We start from the raw sequence: 19,552 nt of genomic DNA, 5'->3' as shown, positions 1-19,552 counted from the left end.
CTCCTGGCCACGCCTGCCCAGGCGTCCTGCTCCATCCACTTCCTGGCCTTGGTTCCAAGGGACATGGCCACAAGTTTCCAAATGAGGAGGGTGTCTTGGGTGGGAAACGGCAGCTGATTCTGGGTGTGTTCAGGTGTCTCCAGCGTCCCTGTGCAGGCCAGCGTGACCTTGCCAGCAGGATCTCAGGTCACCAGGCTGGTCCCACGGCCGCGAGTATCCTGCGGCATCAGACTCCGCAGGCCTGTCACCGTCATCCCTCGAGTCACAGCCCCTAGCACCCGCCACCACTGCCCCCCGGCTGCCTCCTGCCACGTCGTCCTTGGAGGGGCCACGTCATTACACACAGGAGCTGTGGCGGAGGAGCTGCCTGTCCACCCTAGGGGCCTGTTGGATGGTGAAAGCTCTGGTCTAAACCACAAAGAAGCCACCAGGAAGGAGAGTAACAGCCTAGCAGTTGATGAAATCCTGAGCTGATGAGAGCTTGGGTGCTACACAGCCCCCACGCTGCGGTTTTAGGCGCACAGGATGTTTCATTTCTTTTACTCCCTGGGACGCCTGAGTGAGCCTAGAGGGTTGGGTAGGAGTCACCTGTCCCGAATTTCTCTCCACTTGTTGGAGCGTTCCCCGCCTGTCAGGTCCGCATGCCGCCTCCTCCAGGAAGCCCTTGCTGCTTTCCCAGCCTCTGTGATCCCCAGTCGGCTGCCTGTGGCTCCTGCCGGTCCCCTTCAGATGGATGCTCCTTGGATGTAGATGGTCATGGCAGCCAGGAATTTGCTGAGCTTGATCACTGGATGAGGAGGACCCAGAGGCTGTCTAGGGAGCACTTCATCATTCTTCAGATGAGAGGAAGCAGCCTGCCGAGCTGAGCTCTCAGAAAGCACAGGGCAGAGCTGATGGGCACAGCAGCTGCAGAGTCCTCACACAGGGAGGTTGGGCCCCACGCAGCCTGCATAGTCCCTGAGCCAGTGCCAGGGGCCATGGCGGAAGTCAGCCCCCGAGGGCCACTGGAGCGCGTGAGTACTGTGCCAACAGGAGGAAGAGCCGGTGGCCTCTCCAAGTGACAAGCCCCACAGTGACCCAGAGCTCTCCGCCTGGCCTGGCAGCTCTGTCTTGGGCCCAGCGGCCTCCTATGCATGGTCATTGGTGCCGGTGGCCAGAGCTAGACAGGGAGTGGGTCTCCATAGAGGCCTCGAGGCTCCTGAACAGCTGTCGACGGGAGAGAGGGGACCCCAAGGAGTGGGAGCAGGAGCCAGGCAGACCTCAGAGCCCCAGGCTCCTCCCGCACATGGTGCAGTGGCTGGATGGCCCGGGCTGGGTCCTACAGCGGCTGCTCAGTCAGGTGGGGGGGTCCCTATCCCAGCAGGGTCCCCTCTCAGGGCAGTAGGGGTGTTGTCAGCCATGACTCAGACTTCCCTGAGGCCCCTCACCTGGACTCAAAAAGAGGCTGCTTGATCTGCATGAAGCCACGCGGGTGTGCAGGGCAGGGACTTGAGTCCCAGAGGGCCGCGGACACTCCCTGCTCCAGGTCACCTGCTGGTGAGTGCCAGGCCCCACTGCTGCTTTCGGACAAGGACGTTGAGCTGACAGCTTAATTTGTGTAGCGTCCTGCCCATGTGCTTCCCCTGAGCAAGGCCTTTGTGCTGCGGACGTGGAAGCACGAGTGTCCCCTGTGGCCGGGCGGTGACCTGCGGACGTTGGCGCACGAGTGTCCCCTGTGGCCGGGCGGTGACCTGCGGACGTGGGCGCACGAGTGTCCCCTGTGGCCGGGCGGTGACCTGTGGACGTGGGCGCACGAGTGTCCCCTGTGGCCGGGCGGTGACCAGCGGACGTGGGCGCACGAGTGTCCCCTGTGGTTGGGCGGTGACCTGCGGACGTGGACGCACGAGTGTCCCCTGTGGCTGGGTGGTGACCTGCCTGGGGTGTTCAGGGATGTCGGGGTGCTCTAGCAATGGGCCCAAGTGCTGAAGACCCAAAGGAAACAGCCCGGAGTTGGCAGCCAAGGGAGCTCTGAGGTCACAGAGAGGTCCAGGCGTGCTTACCTGAGAGAGGAGATGGGGAGAGGCAGCTCGGGAGGTCCAGGGTACAGAGGCCATGTCCAGGGAGGCAGCAGAAATCTGCTGTGGTGAAATCTGCCTCGGGGAAATCTGCGTCGGGGATGCTGCTTTCAAAGCCGTAGCTGCAGAAGAACTTTCCTCAGACGACACGCAACTGACGTGAGACCCGCCCACGGCCGTGCCTAGAAGCCATCTCATACCACCTCTCCTGCAGCCCGTTCTGAAGAGCAGCCGCAAGCTGGATTCGTTCCAGGACAGGACAGGCTGCGCAAGGAAACCCGGACAGCTGGCCTGGGGGCCAGGGCGAGTGGGCACAGAGGTGTGGCCTGCAGGGCTGCTGTGGGCCGGAGGATGAGATTAGGTGCCACCAGAGGGTGGGAGCACAAGGTCTGCGGGGGATTGTCAGAAGGGGAGTGCGGGACGGGGTCTGGAGGGGTTCCCACAGGCCTGGGGTGTGATGCCTGGCGATGGCCATTCCCAGCAGGTGAACCCCGGTCCCAGGAGAGCGGTTGGTGGAGGTCACCAGTGTGGCCACACTGTCACGTTCTCTTGTCGTCACTCTAATCCCTGCCTCTGCCAGGGTCCTGGGGATGTGGGTACAGCTGGCAGGCCCCGGGGCTCCCGCACGGCACACAACGCCCCGCCCAGTCGTCATCCTGGGGCCATTGCCCTGAACTGGGAGATGAGACTCTGAGCGCCTCGGTGTGGAGAGACCCAGTAATTACCTGGCAGGAAATATTTTCTGCCCTGGAAAACCCAGAGGAGACACACTTGGGTTCGAGGCATGACCCGCAAAACTCTCCTGGGAGTTCAGAAAACGTGGAAGGAAGGAGCCGGGGCCACGAGGGGCATGTCAGGCGGGTTCCAGGCGGCTGGGAGGCTCCTCACGATGCACCACCCTTCACCGTGCAGGGAACCCCGGCCGCCGCCATGCCTGCCGCCCTCGGTTGTGCCCAGACGCTCTGCAGGGTAGGCGGGCAGTGCCAGCACCCTCCTCGGGTGAGGCCTTGGTCTTTTGTCCCTGCCGTGCCCAGGCATAGCCCATACTCAGTGCTGGAGGGTGCTCGTCTTACCAAGAATTTTGTGAAGGTGGTATCTGTTGCTGCTCAGAACTTCCGAGTGTCCCCACGTGGGGTCCCTGAAGTGTCCTGGGTTCCTGTTTCCAGGCATCTGGGTCACAGGCCCCAGTTCCACCCCCTGAAGCACGGATTTGATGAGTGGTTTGGATCCCCCAACTGCCACTTTGGACCTTATGACAACAAGGCCAGGCCCAACATCCCTGTGTACAGGGACTGGGAGATGGTTGGCAGGTAATGGAGCCCCACCCCTTCCCCTCCCACGTCCTGAACTGCTGTGCCCGGCGTGCCTGCCCCCCGCCTCTAGCACTGGTGGGCTCAAGTCGCCACTCATGAGGGCTGGTCTGTCCCTGGGTCCCCGGGCACCGAGGGCTTTGGTTTGGTGGCTTCTGTCCCACCAAGTTTTGCCCCAGAGCCTATGAGACTCCTGCCTGGGGTTTCCCACCTTTTCAGGGTCGTAGATCCCTGTAGCTGTCCTGAGAGAGGAAGGCCCCCAGCAGAGCGAGCCCACACGGTCTGCCCTAGCTGTCAGGGTACTGCCCATGTGGTCTACGGGTGGGGAGGCCGGCTGTGCTCCAGACATCCAGGGACATGGGCAGGACAGGAGGTGGGATGAAACCCCCACTGGGAGCCACACCAGGAGCAAAAGCCGCTGTCCAGACAGAGCCGTCCTGGTGCCCGGGCGTGGGGGCAGCACCTCTTGACACGGCAGTGCCGGGTCCGGGACCCTCATCTTTTGTGAATTTTATTTTGCTTAACTTGACTCTTCTTGGCGGAAGTGCTCATTCATTACATGACGGTGACCAGAAGCAGCACCAGCTTGCTGCCTCTTTCTAGATAGAGCCCCGTGGAGGTGTGGGAGTCGCACCACGCAGCCCCCATTTGAAGTGTGCAGTTCTGTGGTTGGCATTAGTCACAGGCTGGGACAACCAGCACTGTAGCTGCTTCAGAACGAGCCCCATGGCCTGAGCGGCGGCTCCCCAGCCCCAGCCGAGTGACCACAGCCGCCTCACTGCCTTCACCTTGGTGTCGTGCCCTCAGCCCCATTCCCCCATCTTCCCATGTGGCAGGTTATTGCAGCACCGGCCTCAGCCAGGTCATCAGATGCAAGACCGTGCCCTGGGGGAGCGAGGGATGCGTCCAGCTTGGTTGTTCCCTGAGTGGACATTTCATTTCCAGGCTTCCTTTTTTTTTTTTTTCTTGAGACAGGATCTTGCTCTGTCACCCAGGGTGGATTGCAGTGGCGCGATCTCGGCTCACTGCAACCTCCGCCTCCTGGGTTCAAGCAATTCTCCTGCCTCAGCCTCTCAAGTAGCTGGGATTACAGGCGTGCGCCACCACGCCCAGCTAATTTTTGTATTTTTAGTAGAGACAGAGTTTCACCATGTTGCCCAGGCTGGTCTCAAATTCCTGACCTCATGATCCACCTTCCTCAGCCTCCCAAAATGCTGGGATTACAGGCATGAGCCATGACGCCCAGCCCTAGCCTTCTTTTAAATGAAGCCCATGGCTTTGCTGGTGAAATCAGGGAGAACGGGACTTTCTTGGCCTAAATTCTGAAGTCTGTCTGGATCTGTGTTCTTTTCAGATATTATGAAGAATTTCCTATTAATCTGAAGACGGGGGAAGCCAACCTCACCCAGATCTACCTGCAGGTGATGGGGACCGCACCATCCTCGCCCTGTGGGACGCATGGGGACGGGGACCGCACCAACCTCATCCTGTGGGAGGCGTGGGGACAGGAATGCATCAACCTCACCCCGTGGGAGGCATGGGTTCAGGGACCTCATCACCCTCGCCCCGTGGGACGCGTGGGGACGGGGACCGCACCATCCTCGCCCCGTGGGACGCGTGGGGACGGGGACCGCACCAACCTTGCCCCGTGGGACGCGTGGGGACGGGGACCGCACCAACCTCGCCCCGTGGGACGTGTGGGGACGGGGACCGTGGGAGGCATGAGGAGGTCGGCCTGAGGCTGGAGGACGACGGTGTGGCTCTCTCCATAGGAAGCCCTGGACTTCATTAAGAGACAGGCACGGCACCACCCCTTTTTCCTCTACTGGGCTGTCGACGCCACGCACGCACCCGTCTATGCCTCCAAACCCTTCTTGGGCACCAGTCAGCGAGGGCGGTGAGTCCTGGCTCCATGGAGCATAGACCTCGCTGGAGGCCCCAGCTGTGCTTGACTCCAGAGATGGGACACTCAGTACCGTGGCATTTAGGCCAATTATGGAAAGGCCAGAGCAACCCCACCCCTTTGAAGCCGTCCACTGGCCTGGGATCAGCAGAGGAGGGCTGTGGTGGGGGTGCTGGCTCTGTCCTTCATAAGCCACATGAACTTGAACTGAGGCCATTCCTCTTCTGGGAAGAGGCCGGCCAGTTTCACTGTGGTCTGTGAAGTTATGATTTAATGAACTCCGTGAATCACAGTATGCCGTTGGCTGCCTGATCCATTTGTCACCATCCTCCAGGTATGGAGATGCCTTTTGTCACCATCCTGCAGGTATGGAGACGCCGTCCGGGAGATTGATGACAGCATTGGGAAGATACTGGAGCTCCTCCAAGACCTGCACGTCGCGGACAACACCTTCGTCTTCTTCACGTCGGACAACGGCGCTGCCCTCATTTCCGCCCCCGAACAAGGTGAGTGCTCGCTGTCACTTCTCACGGTTTCCCCACAGCCAGCGTGTCAGCGAAGAGTGCCTGGACCGGCTGTGCCCACGGGGTCTGTGGTGGGCAGAGCATGAAGGGTCCCTCTGGGTCCAGCGGGAGGAGCAGATGTCACCGAGCCTCGAGCAAGGCCCTTCTGGCCCAGGACTAACCTGGAAGCAGGAGTGACCTTGAACTTGGGGGTGGGGAGGAGGTGACACAGGGGAGAGGGTTTGTCTTGGAAGAGGCTGACGCCTCCCGAAGGGTGACCCCGGAGGCCGGAGGCTTTGGAGGCCGCATGGAAACAGCAGGGCCGGTGGAGCAGGGTGTCCCTGCTGAGGTGGGGGCCGGCACCCCAGACCCCGAGCAGCCCTGTGAGTGTGGCCTGGACCTGGTCACCCAGGGGCCGGGCTGCCTCCATGAAGATGGACTCCTGCCCCCACCACAGCCCTGTCAAGTGGTTCCTGGGATGGAGCTTCAGCCTTTCCCCCGCTCGGCACTGATGAATGCCTGACCCATCCCCAGCGCCAACAAACCTGAACCCGCCTCTTCCCAGACCACGCGGGGGGGGGCCCTGCAGCCTCTTCCCAGACCACACGGGGGGGGCCCTACAGCCTCTTCCCAGACCACGCTGAGGGGGGCCCTGCAGCCTCTTCCCAGACCACGCGGTGGGGAGAGCCCTACAGCCTCTTCCCAGACCACGCTGAGGGGGGCCCTGCAGCCTCTTCCCAGACCACACGGGGGGGGCCCTACAGCCTCTTCCCAGACCACGCTGAGGGGGGCCCTGCAGCCTCTTCCCAGACCACGCGGGGGGGCCCTGCAGCCTCTTCCCAGACCACGCGGGGGGGGGCCCTGCAGCCTCTTCCCAGACCACGTGGTGGGGAGAGCCCTACAGCCTCGTCCCAGACCATGTCGGGGGGCGCCTACAGCCCAGTGTGCTGCGGGGATTGGGGGCTTCAGAGTTTCAAGTGATAGAAACCAGCACAGCTGAAAGCCAAAACAGAAGCATAGGCTCCCTCGCGCCACGTCCCACCAGATAGCTCCCCTGGGTGAGCCTGGCTCTCGTGCAGGCCCTCCGGACAGCTCCATCTCCCGCCCACTGGAGTCAGACCCACGAGTCGAGGCCCCCAACAGACCCATGTGTGGAGGGCTACAGGCAGCTCCCAGGAGGCAGGGTGCTGGGTGGGGGGAGGGTGGTGTTGGCCGTCATTCCCCATGGGGAGCCCGGGGGGGCCCACCTCGACGCCAGCACCCACAACCACCAGCCAGCAGGGGCAAGGGTCCCAGCGACCTGAGTCTTCATTTCTAAATGATGGAATGTTTCATACCAACAAATGGCATGTTTCATACCAACAAATGGTATATGTACCTATTTGTAACAAGATGAGAACCCACACACCCAGCACCCAGCACAAGACTAGAAACAGAACATCCCAGAGAAAGAAAGCAGGGGAGGGGGCTGGGCGTGGTGGCTCACACCTGTAATCCCAGCACTTTGGGAGGCTGAGGCGGGTGGATCACGAGGTCAGGAGGTCGAGACCATCCTGGCTAACACGGTGAAACCCCATCTCTACTGAAAAACAAAAAATTAGCCAGGCGTGGTGGCGGGCACCTGTAGTCCCAGCTGCTGGGCAGGCTAAGTCAAGAGAATGACTTGAACCCGGGAGGCGGAGCTTGCAGTGAGCCGAGATCGCACCACTGCACTCCAGCCTGGGCGACAGAGCGAGACTCCATGTCAAAAAAAAAAAAAAAGGGGATGGGAGAGAGAAGGAAAGAAAGGGAGGGAGGGAAGGAGAAGAAGCACAGCATGGCCTCCTGTGAGCCTGAGTGTCCCCTAGAAGTGGCCAGTGTCCCCAGCTCAGTGTCCATTGTCCCTTCACAGGTTCTGTGGCTCTGCTGCTGTGAGCAGGGCCCTCCCTGAGACAGGCCGGGTTGCGGGTGTTGGCGTGTTTGCCCGTGAGGGGCTCTGAGCAGAGCTGCCTGCGAGGTTCCGTTCAGAGGCTTCCCCACGCTGCCGCTCGGGGTTGGATGGCAGCGCAGGAAGGAGCTGCGGTGACTTTGCCTCCCCTGGATGGTTCACTTTTTCACTGCCGGAAAAATATTTTCTTTTTTTTTTTTTTTTTTTTTTTGAGAAGGAGTCTCGCTCTGTTGCCCAGGCTGGAGTGCAGTGGCGCGATCTCAGCTCACTGTAGCCTTGACCTCCTGGGCTCCAGCAATCCTCCCACCTCAGCCTCCTGAGTAGCTGGGACTACAGGACGTGCCGCCACACCCAGCTAATTTTTGTATTTTTGTAGAGATGGGGTTTAGCCGTGGTCTCTCTTTGGTAGAAACCAGTCTAGGCTAGTCTTGAACTCCCGAGTTCAAGCAGTCCCCCTGCTTCGGCCTCCCAAGGTACTGGGATGACAGGTATGAGCCACCGCAGCCGGCCCCTTCGTTTCCTTTTTCCCTTTTATTCAGGGGACCCGAAGCTGAGAGAGCCTCAAGTGGCTCAGGCTACAGCAGCAGGGGTGGCTTTTGTCCCTGACGTGGGCCCCCCACCCCCTTCTTCCATGTCTGGGAGTGAGCCAGGGATGGTGTAGTCACCTGAGATGGCCTTTGCCCCGTGACCACTTCCCACAAGTGATGGTTCAGAAACCAAAATCCGGTCTTGGGGGCTTGTCAGAAACACAGATTCCTACGCCCCACCGTGACTGACTGAGTCAGAACCATGGGGAGGCCAGAAGTTGGCTGCATTTTAAGTACCCCAAACACCGGGAGGCTTGTGAACATTCACGTTCGGGAAGCACCAGTCGGCAGCTGCGCACGTGGCACCCAGGGCCTCTGCTGCGGGAGTGTACCTCTCTGAGTCTTGCTGACACCGTATGGTTGTGTTTCCATTTCCTCAGTGGGCATGATGTCCCCACTTTCTCCAGGAGACTTTGCAGCCGCGGCATCTCAGATGAGCCCCTGGAGAGCCACCCCGAGGCTCGGATCATGCACTCCAGCCAGAGTGCCTTGGCCGGGCCCTTTGTCCCTATGACCAGTCTCAGTGACTCAGTGGGGAGGGAGGGGGAGGGCCTGGGGACATCTGGTCCCAGTGGCCTGACAAGGGCCCCTCTCTCCCAGGTGGCAGCAACGGCCCCTTTCTGTGTGGGAAGCAGACCACGTTTGAAGGAGGGATGAGGGAGCCTGCCCTCGCATGGTGGCCAGGGCACGTCACTGCAGGCCAGGTGAGTCAGCGTCCACCGGTCTGCCGGGCAGCAGGTCCAGGCCTGCAGCCATCCCAGGGTGTGTGCGCCCCTCACTGGCCACCTCCCCCATGCACCCCGTGCTCATCCTCACCGCTCTCCTCCCCACGCACCCTGTGCTCAGCCTCCACGCACCCCATGCTCAGCCTCACCACCCTCCTCCCCACGCTCCCCGTGCTCGGCCTCACCGCTCTCCTCCCCACGCACCCCGTGCTCGGCCTCACCGCTCTCCTCCCCACGCACCCCGTGCTCGGCCTCACCGCTCTCCTCCCCACGCACCCCGTGCTCGGCCTCACCGCTCTCCTCCCCACGCACCCCGTGCTCGGCCTCACCGCTCTCCTCCCCACGCTCCCCGTGCTCGGCCTCACCGCTCTCCTCCCCACGCACCCCGTGCTCGGCCTCACCGCTCTCCTCCCCACGCACCCCGTGCTCGGCCTCACCGCTCTCCTCCCCACGCACCCCGTGCTCGGCCTCACCGCTCTCCTCCCCACGCACCCCGTGCTCGGCCTCACCGCTCTCCTCCCCACGCACCCCGTGCTCGGCCTCACCGCTCTCCTCCCCACGCACCCCGTGCTCGGCCTCACCGCTCTCCTCCCCACGCACCCCGTGCTCGGCCTCACCGCTCTCCTCCCCACGCTCCCCGTGCTCGGCCTCACCGCTCTCCTCCCCACGCACCCCGTGCTCGGCCTCACCGCTCTCCTCCCCACGCACCCCGTGCTCGGCCTCACCGCTCTCCTCCCCACGCACCCCGTGCTCGGCCTCACCGCTCTCCTCGGAACCAGGTCCCTCTCGGTGGCTCTCGGTGTGTAGGGCTTGCTGTGCTTGGTCAGACAGGCAGGAAGGCTCTCGGTGGGGACTGGAGCCACGTATACTGCCGTGTGTCACGTGGGTGCTGGTAATGACTGTGTGGTGAGGAGACATCCGTGGTCCAGTCACCGCAGCAGTCCTGAGTTAAATGGAGCTAAACAGGTTTCTTCCCTGCAGGACTTATCAGTGCCTTTAGCATGCTGGTGGGCACCATGAGCTTCTAGAAGGGGCTTAGAGCAGGCTGAGTGTTTAAAAACCTGTCTGTCTACTACAGAATCGGTCGTTTTTTCCCCCAAAGCACATCTTCTCAGGCCAGTGTCCTAAGGACACTCAGAGAACAGCAGCAGCCCGACACGAGACCGTTGGTGTCTGTCTGCCGCATGGGGTGCGGACCTCGGTGGTGGCCTGGGTCCTGGCTGGGCGAGGGTGCGCCCTGCCATCTCAGTGTGACCACCTTCATGCTGTCACTGCATCTCCTCTGGCCCAGGAAGCTGCCCCTCGGTTGAGAATCACACCGTGTGGTCTTCTGTAACAGGCACTTGAGCCAGACATACCCATCAACACGCGGGGCTGAGTCTGGTGTTTGTAAACGACCGCTGTTTCTTCACTGTTTCTTAGTCTTTTGCCCTCCCAATGGCCTCCAGAGGCAGCCATCCCCTTCAAGTGGCCCCACGAGGATGGGGGGGGCTCCCAGTGGCAGCTGGAACATCACACATGACGACAGCCAGAGTCAACATGGGGCTCATGGGGCTGAGTGAAGACGTGCGTGGGGCCAGCTCCTTCTGGAGGCTCCAGGAGATGTTCTGTTCCCTGCCTTTTCCCAATCCTAGTAGCTGCCCCATTCCTGAGCTCCTGGCCCCTCCACCGTCAAAGCCAGCAGCACGCAGGCATCTGTCCCTGGCCTTCCTGTTCCACGTTTTTTTTTTTTTTTTTTTTTTTTTTGAGATGAAGTCTCACTCTGTTGCCCAGGCTGGAGTGCAGTAGTGCAATCTCGGCTCACTGCAACTTCTACCTCCCAGATTCAAGCGATTCTCCTGCCTCAGCCTCCCGAGTAGCTGGGACTACAGGCATGCTCTACCATGCCCGGCTAATTTTTGTATTTTTAGTAGAGACGGAGTTTCACTATGTTGGCCAGTATGGTCTCAATCTCCTGACCTCGTGATCTGCCCGCCTCGGCCTCCGAAAGTGTTGGGATTACAGGCGTGAGCCACCGCGCCCGGCGCCTGTTCCACTTTTGAGGACCCTGTGGCTGTGTCCCACCCCACCCCCTGCTCACCCAGGCTGGCCTCCCTGTTTCGAGCCTCGCTGATGAGCGGCCTGCGTTGTGTCTGCCGCCTCAATTGCCTGGCCTGGTCGCGCGCCTGAAGGCCCAGGGATTGGCTGCTGTTCTGCCAGATCCTCCTCTTCCCCACTCATTCTACACATCAGGAAACTGAGGCCAGAGAGGAAGTCGTCTGTCAGGGTCCCCCAATTACTAGGGAGCAGAGGTGGGAGCAGGCGCCTGGCTGTGGATCCTGCACTCCTGCCCACCATGCCTGGGCAGTCCCCTGTGTCCCCAGCAGCCAGTGGGACTGGGGGCGGCAACTGCCAAGGGCGCCTGTTCTCTACAGCTGTCTGGGCCTCCCTCAGACCCTGCCCAGGGCAGCCTTTGTCTGACATGGGACTCCTGGGCCACCCCAAGTTCCCAGGACCCTGAAGGTGGAAGAGACCCCACGGTTCACTGAAAAGGCAGCTGCGGCTCCGTGTGAAGGGCAGAGTGGCTGTGAGAGTGACCGCCTTGTTGTGCAGGAGAAGCATGGGTGGTGGGCACGGCCTCCTTTGTGGTGTGGGGTGCCCCTAGGACAGAATGCAGCTGTGCCGCCCCCTCCACTCCCCTGAGCGCCATCCCCCTGAGGGTAGGGATGGGCCATTTGGTTTCTTGTGTGGGGGCACCTGCAGGGAGTGGCCGGTGGTCACTCAGTGAACACTGTGACGTTGGCATGAGACTCAGGAACTGTGTAGCTCTGGGAGACGTTGGCATGAGACTCGGGACCCGCGTAGCTCTGGGAGACGTTGGCATGAGACTCAGGAACTGTGTAGCTCTGGGAGACGTTGGCATGAGACTCGGGACCCGTGTAGCTCTGGGAGACGTTGGCGTGAGACTCGGGACCCGCGTAGGTCTGGGAGACGATGGCGTGAGACCCGGGACCCGCGTAGGTCTGGGAGACGATGGCATGAGACTCGGGACCTGCGTAGGTCTGGGAGATGTGAGGTTCCCCACTGCAGTGGGTGCCCACCAGGCCGGGACAGGGCTGGGGCTCTGCTCCCCAGGCTGGGAGCCACCCGTGGCTGTGCTCAGCAGCAGCCTGGAAAAGGTGAGGGGAGCCACCCCAGCGCCGCCCGGCTCCATGCGTAGTGGGTTCAGGGACGTCTGTACCCCACAGACCTCCCCACCCACCTGCCCACGGAAAGGCTCCAGCTGAGAAAAATGCCAATTTCAGCGTTTTGGAACCTTGCCATCTGCCTCGCTCCCTGAAGAAGGGAAACCCTCTCCCCACCTGAGGAAGGGAAACCCTCTTCCCAGAGCCACCAAGTTGCCTTTTCCCGTGGGCCACAAAGTGAAATTGAATTCGATGGCATCAGGCCTGTGCACCAGGACACCACGACGGGGTTTCAGTGAAAGCGCCTGACGTCTGTCCCGACAGTTCCCTCTGGGCAGGGGAGGCTTTAGTCCCTGCAGCCCTGGATTCTGAGTGAAGTCTCGAAAGCGCTGATAACGGTTTCAGTGACTTCTCCCACAGCCGCAGCTGCCCACTGCATTTCTGGATGTTTCTGGAAGGCATCGCTGCCTGGAGAGTTCTTCGAAAACGCTCCACGAGGACCCTGCCTGTGCTGACACCACTCCCGCCCGCCCGCCCTGCCGGCACCACAAGCACTGCTCCGCAGTTATTTTTTCAGATGACAAAAGCATCTGGATTTCTTTCCTTTATTATTCTGTCCTTTAAAGGACACGGGAAGGACGGGAAGCAGTCGCACAGACACTGCTGACCAGACCTGGGGAAGCTTCTCACCTTCTGCAAAGCTTCCTGAACTTTCCTGGCAAACGCTGAGCTTTGCATTCCCTGCCCCACACTGGGCGCTGCAGACCCCACATCCCGTGAGCGGCTGCAGCGCGGAGTGAGTGTCCCTGTGAGGCCAGGGCTCCTCTGTTGGAGAAGCTGGCGATCGCCGTCTGCCCTAGCGAGGAGCTGGCTGCAGGCGGCGAGGGTGCCCCTGGACCGTGGGGAGGGCTGTCGACACTGGGTGGGAGCTCCAGGGCCTGGCAGCGGATGGCGGTCCCTGCCCAGCTGCCCCAGGGGCTGAGCTTGCCAGGCAGGGGTGTCTCTCCAGCCCCACCCCAGTCTCCCCGTCGAGTGACCCAAGCCTGGAGCCCCCGAGTTAAGAAAGAGACAGGGCCGCCGGGCTCATGCCTGTAATCCCAGCACTTTGGGAGGCTGAGGCGGGCAGATCACCTGAGGTTGGGAGTTCGAGACCAGCCTGACCAACATGGAGAAACCCCGTCTCTACTAAAAGTACAAAATTAGCCGGGCGTAGTGACACATACCTGTAATCCCAGCTTCTCGGGAGACTGAGTCAGGAGAATCACTTGAACCTGGAAGGCAGAGGTTGTGGTGAGCTGAGATCGCACCACTGCACTCCAGCCTGGGTGACAAGAACAAAACTCCATCTCAAAAAACAAAAACAAAAAACAAGAAGCAGACAGGGCCACTGAGGGAAGCCAGATGGCACGCTCTGCTCATGGCTGGTCAGCAGTGCCCACGCCCTCCGGAGGTCAAGGCACGGCGGGAAAGACAGCCTCCTGCCTGTCCTGGAGCTCTCTGGGTGTGTCAGGAGCCGTCCCCACCCCAGCCACTCGGAGCTGCTCCTGTCCAGCCTCAGCTGCCCCTCCACATCTGGTTTTTCTCCACCTGCTCCTCTGACTTAAGGGGCAGGGCTCACAGTGGCCTTAGGGCATTCAGTGTTAGAGCGAGGCTGATCCTCTCCGGACAGGTGGGCCTGGAGGGGCATCTCCCTGGGAGGGCTGTGATTCTCCTTTCATCTGATCCACAGAGGCAGAGAAGGGTGCCAGGGAGTGAGGGCGTGGCCTGGCTCTGGGGTCTTTGGGCCTGGTTTGAGGCTCCTCTGTCTCTCACAGGCCTTGTGACCCCGCTCAGTCCCTGCTGTGGGCGTGTGAGCATGTATGCATATCTGTAGACCCAGCTGGGCAGCGGGGCTCACGCCCCCCCAGGGATTGGCCCCCAGCCCCATCGGGTCGGTGCAGAGTGCCCTGACCGTGTTGCTGCCATGTGTTTCAGGTGAGCCACCAGCTGGGCAGCATCATGGACCTCTTCACCACCAGCCTGGCCCTTGCGGGCCTGACGCCGCCCAGCGACAGGGCCATTGATGGCCTCAACCTCCTCCCCACCCTCCTGCAGGGCCGGCTGATGGACAGGTTGGTGCTAGACCTGCCCCGGCCCCTTCCCCCGATCCAAGTAGTGAAGCCCAGAGCTGCTAATCAGGTGCAACCCCCAGGCCCAGCAGCCCTCCTGGTTCTGGACACAGGCGTGCTCGTGCCCAGGGCAGGAGGAGGCAGGGGTGCCTGAGACGAGAGGACCTGGGGACCTGCCTGTGGGGCAGGGGCCATCCTGGGAGGGTCCAAGCACAGCGAGGCCCTGGCTTTCAAGAAAGCCTTAGGAGGGAGGGCAAGGCCAGGAGAGGGGCCTCATCCCTGCCTGTACCCGGGCACATGCCGCCCCTGCCCGCCCCACCCCTGTTCCCTGCCTGTACCCAGACACACGCCACCCCTGTCCGCCGCACCCCTGTTCCCTGCCTGTACCCAGACACACGCCGCCCCTGTCCGCCCCACCCCTGTTCCCTGCCTGCAGCCCGGGCACATGCCACCCCTGCCTGCCCCACCCCTGTTGCCTGCCTGTACCTGGGCACACGCCGCCCCTGCCCGCCCCACCCCTGTTCCCTGTCTGTAGCCCGGGCACACGCTGCCCCTGTCTGCCCCACCCCTGTTCCCTGCCCAGCCTGGTTTTTGGTGCCTCATGGCTTCCTGTAGCTTCCTTCTTCCTTCCATCCAAGTCGCTGCTCTGCCAAGTCCATGGCCCAGCTCTTACCTTCTGTCCAAATCCTTAGTGTCCAAAGTCCATTTCCTACCCCCTGAGAGCAGCCACCATTCCACTCAAACCACGTTTCCTGGGTGGTCCTGAAGGGATGAGGATTCCAAAGGCTCAACGGGAAGCAAGGTGGGGACGGCCCAAGGCAGCTGCCGCCTCCGGCTATCTGGGGCCGGGTAGAGGGAGTTTTGCTCACTTGTCCCCTCTCGAGACCTGGCACAAGTGGTTGGTCACTGTGGGGAGAGACGGTGCCCAGCTGCGTCCCCCACTCCCCGTTCCTGACTCGCAGGCCCAACATGGTCAGGAGACCCCGTGCCGCCTGCTTATCCTCTTGTCTGCCCACCCTCCCCAGGGTCTGGCCCAGCCTTGCCAAGGACCAGCAATGAGGGGACGCCCAGGCACCCTAGCCCCGGCCGCCCAGGCACCCCAGACACCCAGGCACCCCAGCCCCAGCTGCCCAGGAATCCCAGTCCCGGACACCCAGGCACCCCAGCCCCGGCTGCCCAGAAACCCCAGCCCCAGACATCCAGGCACCCCAGCCCCGGCCGCCCAGACACCCAGGTACCCCAGCCCTGGCCGCCCAGGCACTCCAGCCCTAGACACCCAGGCACCCCAGACACCCAGTCACCCCAGCCCCGGCCACCCAGACACCCAGCCACCCCAGCCCCGGTTGCCCAGACACCCCAGCCCCAGACACCCAGGCACCCCAGATACCCAGTCGCCCCGGCCACCCAGGCACCCCAGCCCCGGCTGCCCAAACACCCAGGCACCCCAGCCCTGGCCACCCAGACACCCCAGCCCCAGACACCCAGGCGCCCCAGACACCCAGGCACCCTAGACACCCAGTCACCCCAGCCCCGGCCGCCCAAACACCCAGTCACCCCAGCCCCGGCCGCCCAGACACCCCAGCCCCAGACACCCAGGCGCCCCAGATACCCAGTCACCCCAGCCCTGGCCACCCAGGAGCTCCAGCCCCGGCCGCCCAGGCACCCCAGCCCCAGCCACCTTGCGGGCCTTTTTACTTTTCAATCATCTTTGTAAAGTATCAACCAAGACCTCACGTGGAGGCATGAGCCACTGATGACAGACGCAGCCCAGAGCCTCCAGGTGGCCCCAGCGTGTCCTTCCTGTCATTACATGGTCCTCCCCTCCCATCCCACAGGCCTATCTTCTATTACCGTGGCGACACGCTGATGGCGGCCACCCTCGGGCAGCACAAGGCTCACTTCTGGACCTGGACCAACTCCTGGGAGAACTTCAGACAGGTACAGGGCTCGGGACGTGGGCGCAGGCGGAGCTGCCCCCATCTCTATCCAGACGTGGCCCCTGAGCACCGTCCTGGGGGAGGCACAGGAGGGTGAGACAGGCAGGAACTCCACCCCCTCCACAGCCTTCTCTGTGTGGCCCCCAGTCGTTCAGCGTGGCCTAGGGCATGGCAGCTGACAGGCTGGAGAGGAGGGAGGGACCTCTTCCTGCCCCGCGTGATGACAGTAGCCCCGCGGCATAGCTACAGGCGTGGCCTAGACCCTGGTCAGGTGGCCCCCATGGGCCTCTCCATCCTGCCAGGGCATCTGAGCCTCCCCCACACCCCAGGCTGGAGGCGACAGAGACGTGGCCTGCTTGGCCCAGGTGCTACATGGGGGCCGCAGCATTGGCATCACCACAGCAACCCCCAGTGTGGGAGGGTGAAACGCCACACGCACAGGGCCTGGGGCTCCTGCCGCCCCAGGCTACCCCAGCATTGTCAGCGCCAGGCTTTCTCCCACGAGCCCTCGCCTCAAGCCTCCTGCTCCCTCCCCACGGTCTTTTCTGGCCCCTGCTGACCCCTACGCTCCAGCATCCCCCAGCCCCTCCTGAGAGGTCTCTCTCAGCCCCACCCACTCCCAGCATCAAAGTCTTGAGATATGAACCCCCTGCTAATCTGCCTTAATTGGGAAGAAAATCATTTAGTGTAATGGAGAGTCTAAAGACTGGAAGTGAGAACTGGGGCTGAGGGCTGAGCACCCAGGCTGAGGAGGGAAGCTGCTCGTGGGGCAGTGTCTGGAGGGCAATGATGCCCAGGAGTGTTTTGGCTCCTCCCCACCCTGTGCAGGCCCCGCACCCGCTCTTCTTTCGGGTTTTACCCAGCACTGTCACCTGCAAGGGCCATCCTGGGCATCGGTCCCCGGCATTGCCGCCTGTGAGGGCCGTCCTGGGCATCGGTCCCCGGCATTGCCGCCTGCGAGGGCCGTCCTGGGCATCGGTCCCCGGGCATTGCCGCCTGCGAGGGCCGTCCTGGGCATCGTTCCCCGGGCATTGCCGCCTGCGAGGGCCGTCCTGGGCATCGGTCCCCGGCATTGCCGCCTGCGAGGGCCGTCCTGGGCATCGGTCCCCGGCATTGCCGCCTGCGAGGGCCGTCCTGGGCATCGGTCCCCGGCATTGCCGCCTGCGAGGGCCGTCCTGGGCATCGGTCCCCGGCATTGCCGCCTGCGAGGGCCGTCCTGGGCATCGGTCCCCGGCATTGCCGCCTGCGAGGGCCGTCCTGGGCATCGGTCCCCGGCATTGCCGCCTGCGAGGGCCGTCCTGGGCACAGTCCTCGGACGAGCCCCTTGGCCTGCAGCACCCGCTCTGGGAATGTTAGAGGCATACCTCGCCTTTCCCGAATCAGGAGGCCCAGGGGCAGCAGAAAGAGAATTGTGGTTACTGTAAAATCCTTGCCCTTCTTGAGTGTGTGAATCTGTGTCAGCTCCCTGGGTCTGTTTTTGTTTTCTGTGTTTTCTCTTGCCTTTCACATGTTGGTCCTGCTCCTCCCTGTCTTAGGGTTTCTGTAGGGATTCTGAGCGTTGTGGCTCTCCCTTCTCCCAGGGCAGGGCCTCCCTTCCCGTCCCTTTCCCTCCCCTCCCTTCCCCAGCAGAGAGTAGGCTGTTAAAAGGGGCTTTCCTCCATGAAATTAGTGGCAGTCCAGATCTGAGGCTGGCTAAGGTGTTTTAAATACACTCACCTGCCTCGCAAAGAAGAGGGGTACATGAAAACAGGGTACGTGAGGCATGCCAGCTACGCATCTCGGGCCCAGAGCGGGTGGCTTCACCTCCTCCACAGGATGCTTATGGGCCCGCTAGTCCTTCAGCGTTTAGCCAGCGCCCTGCACCATGCTGAGTACCAGGGACGCTGCTAGGCACAGGCAGACGAGACCCCCCCACGGCCCCCAGTTAGGGGCTCCAGGACACAGGCAGACAAGGCCCCTCACGGCCGCAGTCAGGGGCTCCAGGACACGGGCAGACGAGGCCCCTCACGGCCGCAGGTCAGGGGCTCCAGGACACACCTTCCCTCTTCTCATTGCAGGGCATTGATTTCTGCCCTGGGCAGAACGTTTCAGGGGTCACAACTCACAATCTGGAAGACCACACGAAGCTGCCCCTGATCTTCCACCTGGGACGGGACCCAGGGGAGAGGTTCCCCCTCAGGTGAGTCGGTGCAGGGCCTCCTGGCTGCTGAGGCAGTGCCAGCCGGACTCCCCCAAATGCAGGCTCCACAGGGACAGAGCCCTCTGCACCCTGCCCGCCGCCTCCCCTTGCCTGCATCTGCTGTTGCTATTCATACCCACACGTGCTTGGTGGCCTGCCCTCCTCCCAGGGTGCCTGCTGCTGCCCACCCTGGTGGTCTCCCCACTTCTGCCCCTTCTGGGCCACCATCCACCTGGCCCCCAGTGATGTATCCCCTACTCTGAGCTGCATTTGGGGATGGCTGAGGCCAGAGGGGAGGGGTCCAGGCCCTGGGGCAAGTAGGAGGTACAAGGACACAGGTCAGCTAGCAGGAGGAATGGCAGAAAGCCACCAGCCCCAGCTCCACCCTCTGCTCTCTGGGCCTTGTCCTCACCCCACCGAGGATGCCGGAGTCTGCGCCATCACCTGCCAGTTTTCAGGGAAGCCCTCCCCTTACCCTCAGGAGTCTTGAGGGTCATGGTCGCCAGTACCAGACTCACCTGCTGGCAGCTCCTTAGGGGCGACACAGAGGCCCCAACACTTGGCTGGAGACCCCGCCCTGGCTTCCTTTTTTTTTGTCCGAACCCATCTCCCTGGGCTAGGGCTACCTGGAGGCTTCCCCCCCTCACCCCAGCAGGATGAGCAGGTCCCCAATTCCTGCTCCTGGCCTGGGGGTCCTGGGGCACGTGCATGCCTAGTGGTCTCCAGCATTCCTGCCCTATCGAGTTGGTCCTGGGAAGACCCAGGAGCATCAGGGGAGTGGCGTGCAGAGGCAGAACCAGGCCTGAGCACAGCGGTTGCTCCCTGCCCAGGCTTTCTATGCTCCCCGATGGGCCTGGGTTTGAGTAGGGCCGGTGGGAGGCAGCAGAGAGCAGTACAGGACCGAGGGTGGCAGCACCACCGCCAAGGTGCCCTGAGGCTCCTGCACCCTCTGGACGGGGCAGCCGCCTTCCCACGGGGCTGAGCCTGCGGTGAGGCTCCTGGGCTGCAGCCCCTCAGGGATCCCTTGGGCACTTCCTCGGCAGCACCTCTCCTCCACCGAGCGTCCAGCTCAGAAGCCCAGGATGGTGACTGCGGGAAGGCAGCATGGAGCCTGGAGTGGACAGCAGTGTCCCCAGGCCCAGGTCCACCCACACC

The 19,552-nt window shown here is 62.4% G+C and overlaps 1 protein-coding gene across 11 annotated transcripts in view; it reads left to right on the top strand.

Moving 5' to 3' along the window:
* Positions 1 to 19,552, top strand: part of GALNS (galactosamine (N-acetyl)-6-sulfatase) — a 43,214-nt gene that overhangs the window by 15,962 nt on the left and 7,700 nt on the right. For 10 of the 11 annotated variants that reach the window (NM_001323543.2, XM_017023113.2, XM_047433891.1 and 7 more), the window contains 8 exons: positions 3,221 to 3,364; positions 4,719 to 4,785; positions 5,137 to 5,261; positions 5,634 to 5,773; positions 8,885 to 8,988; positions 14,148 to 14,284; positions 16,117 to 16,219; positions 18,276 to 18,397. In NM_001323543.2, coding sequence (NP_001310472.1) covers positions 3,354 to 3,364; positions 4,719 to 4,785; positions 5,137 to 5,261; positions 5,634 to 5,773; positions 8,885 to 8,988; positions 14,148 to 14,284; positions 16,117 to 16,219; positions 18,276 to 18,397 — 809 coding nt within the window. In that variant the 5' untranslated portion in view covers positions 3,221 to 3,353. Of the gene's footprint in view, positions 1 to 138; positions 2,374 to 3,220; positions 3,365 to 4,718; positions 4,786 to 5,136; positions 5,262 to 5,633; positions 5,774 to 8,884; positions 8,989 to 14,147; positions 14,285 to 16,116; positions 16,220 to 18,275; positions 18,398 to 19,552 lie in introns of those variants that run through there. The other variant, XM_047433892.1, reaches the window with a different exon arrangement.

The sequence above is a fragment of the Homo sapiens genome, chromosome 16 (assembly GCF_000001405.40).
Source record: "Homo sapiens chromosome 16, GRCh38.p14 Primary Assembly".
Lineage (NCBI taxonomy): Eukaryota > Metazoa > Chordata > Mammalia > Primates > Hominidae > Homo > Homo sapiens.
The sequence above is the reverse complement of the archived record's forward strand: the minus strand, read 5'-3'. Positions and strand labels throughout refer to the sequence as shown.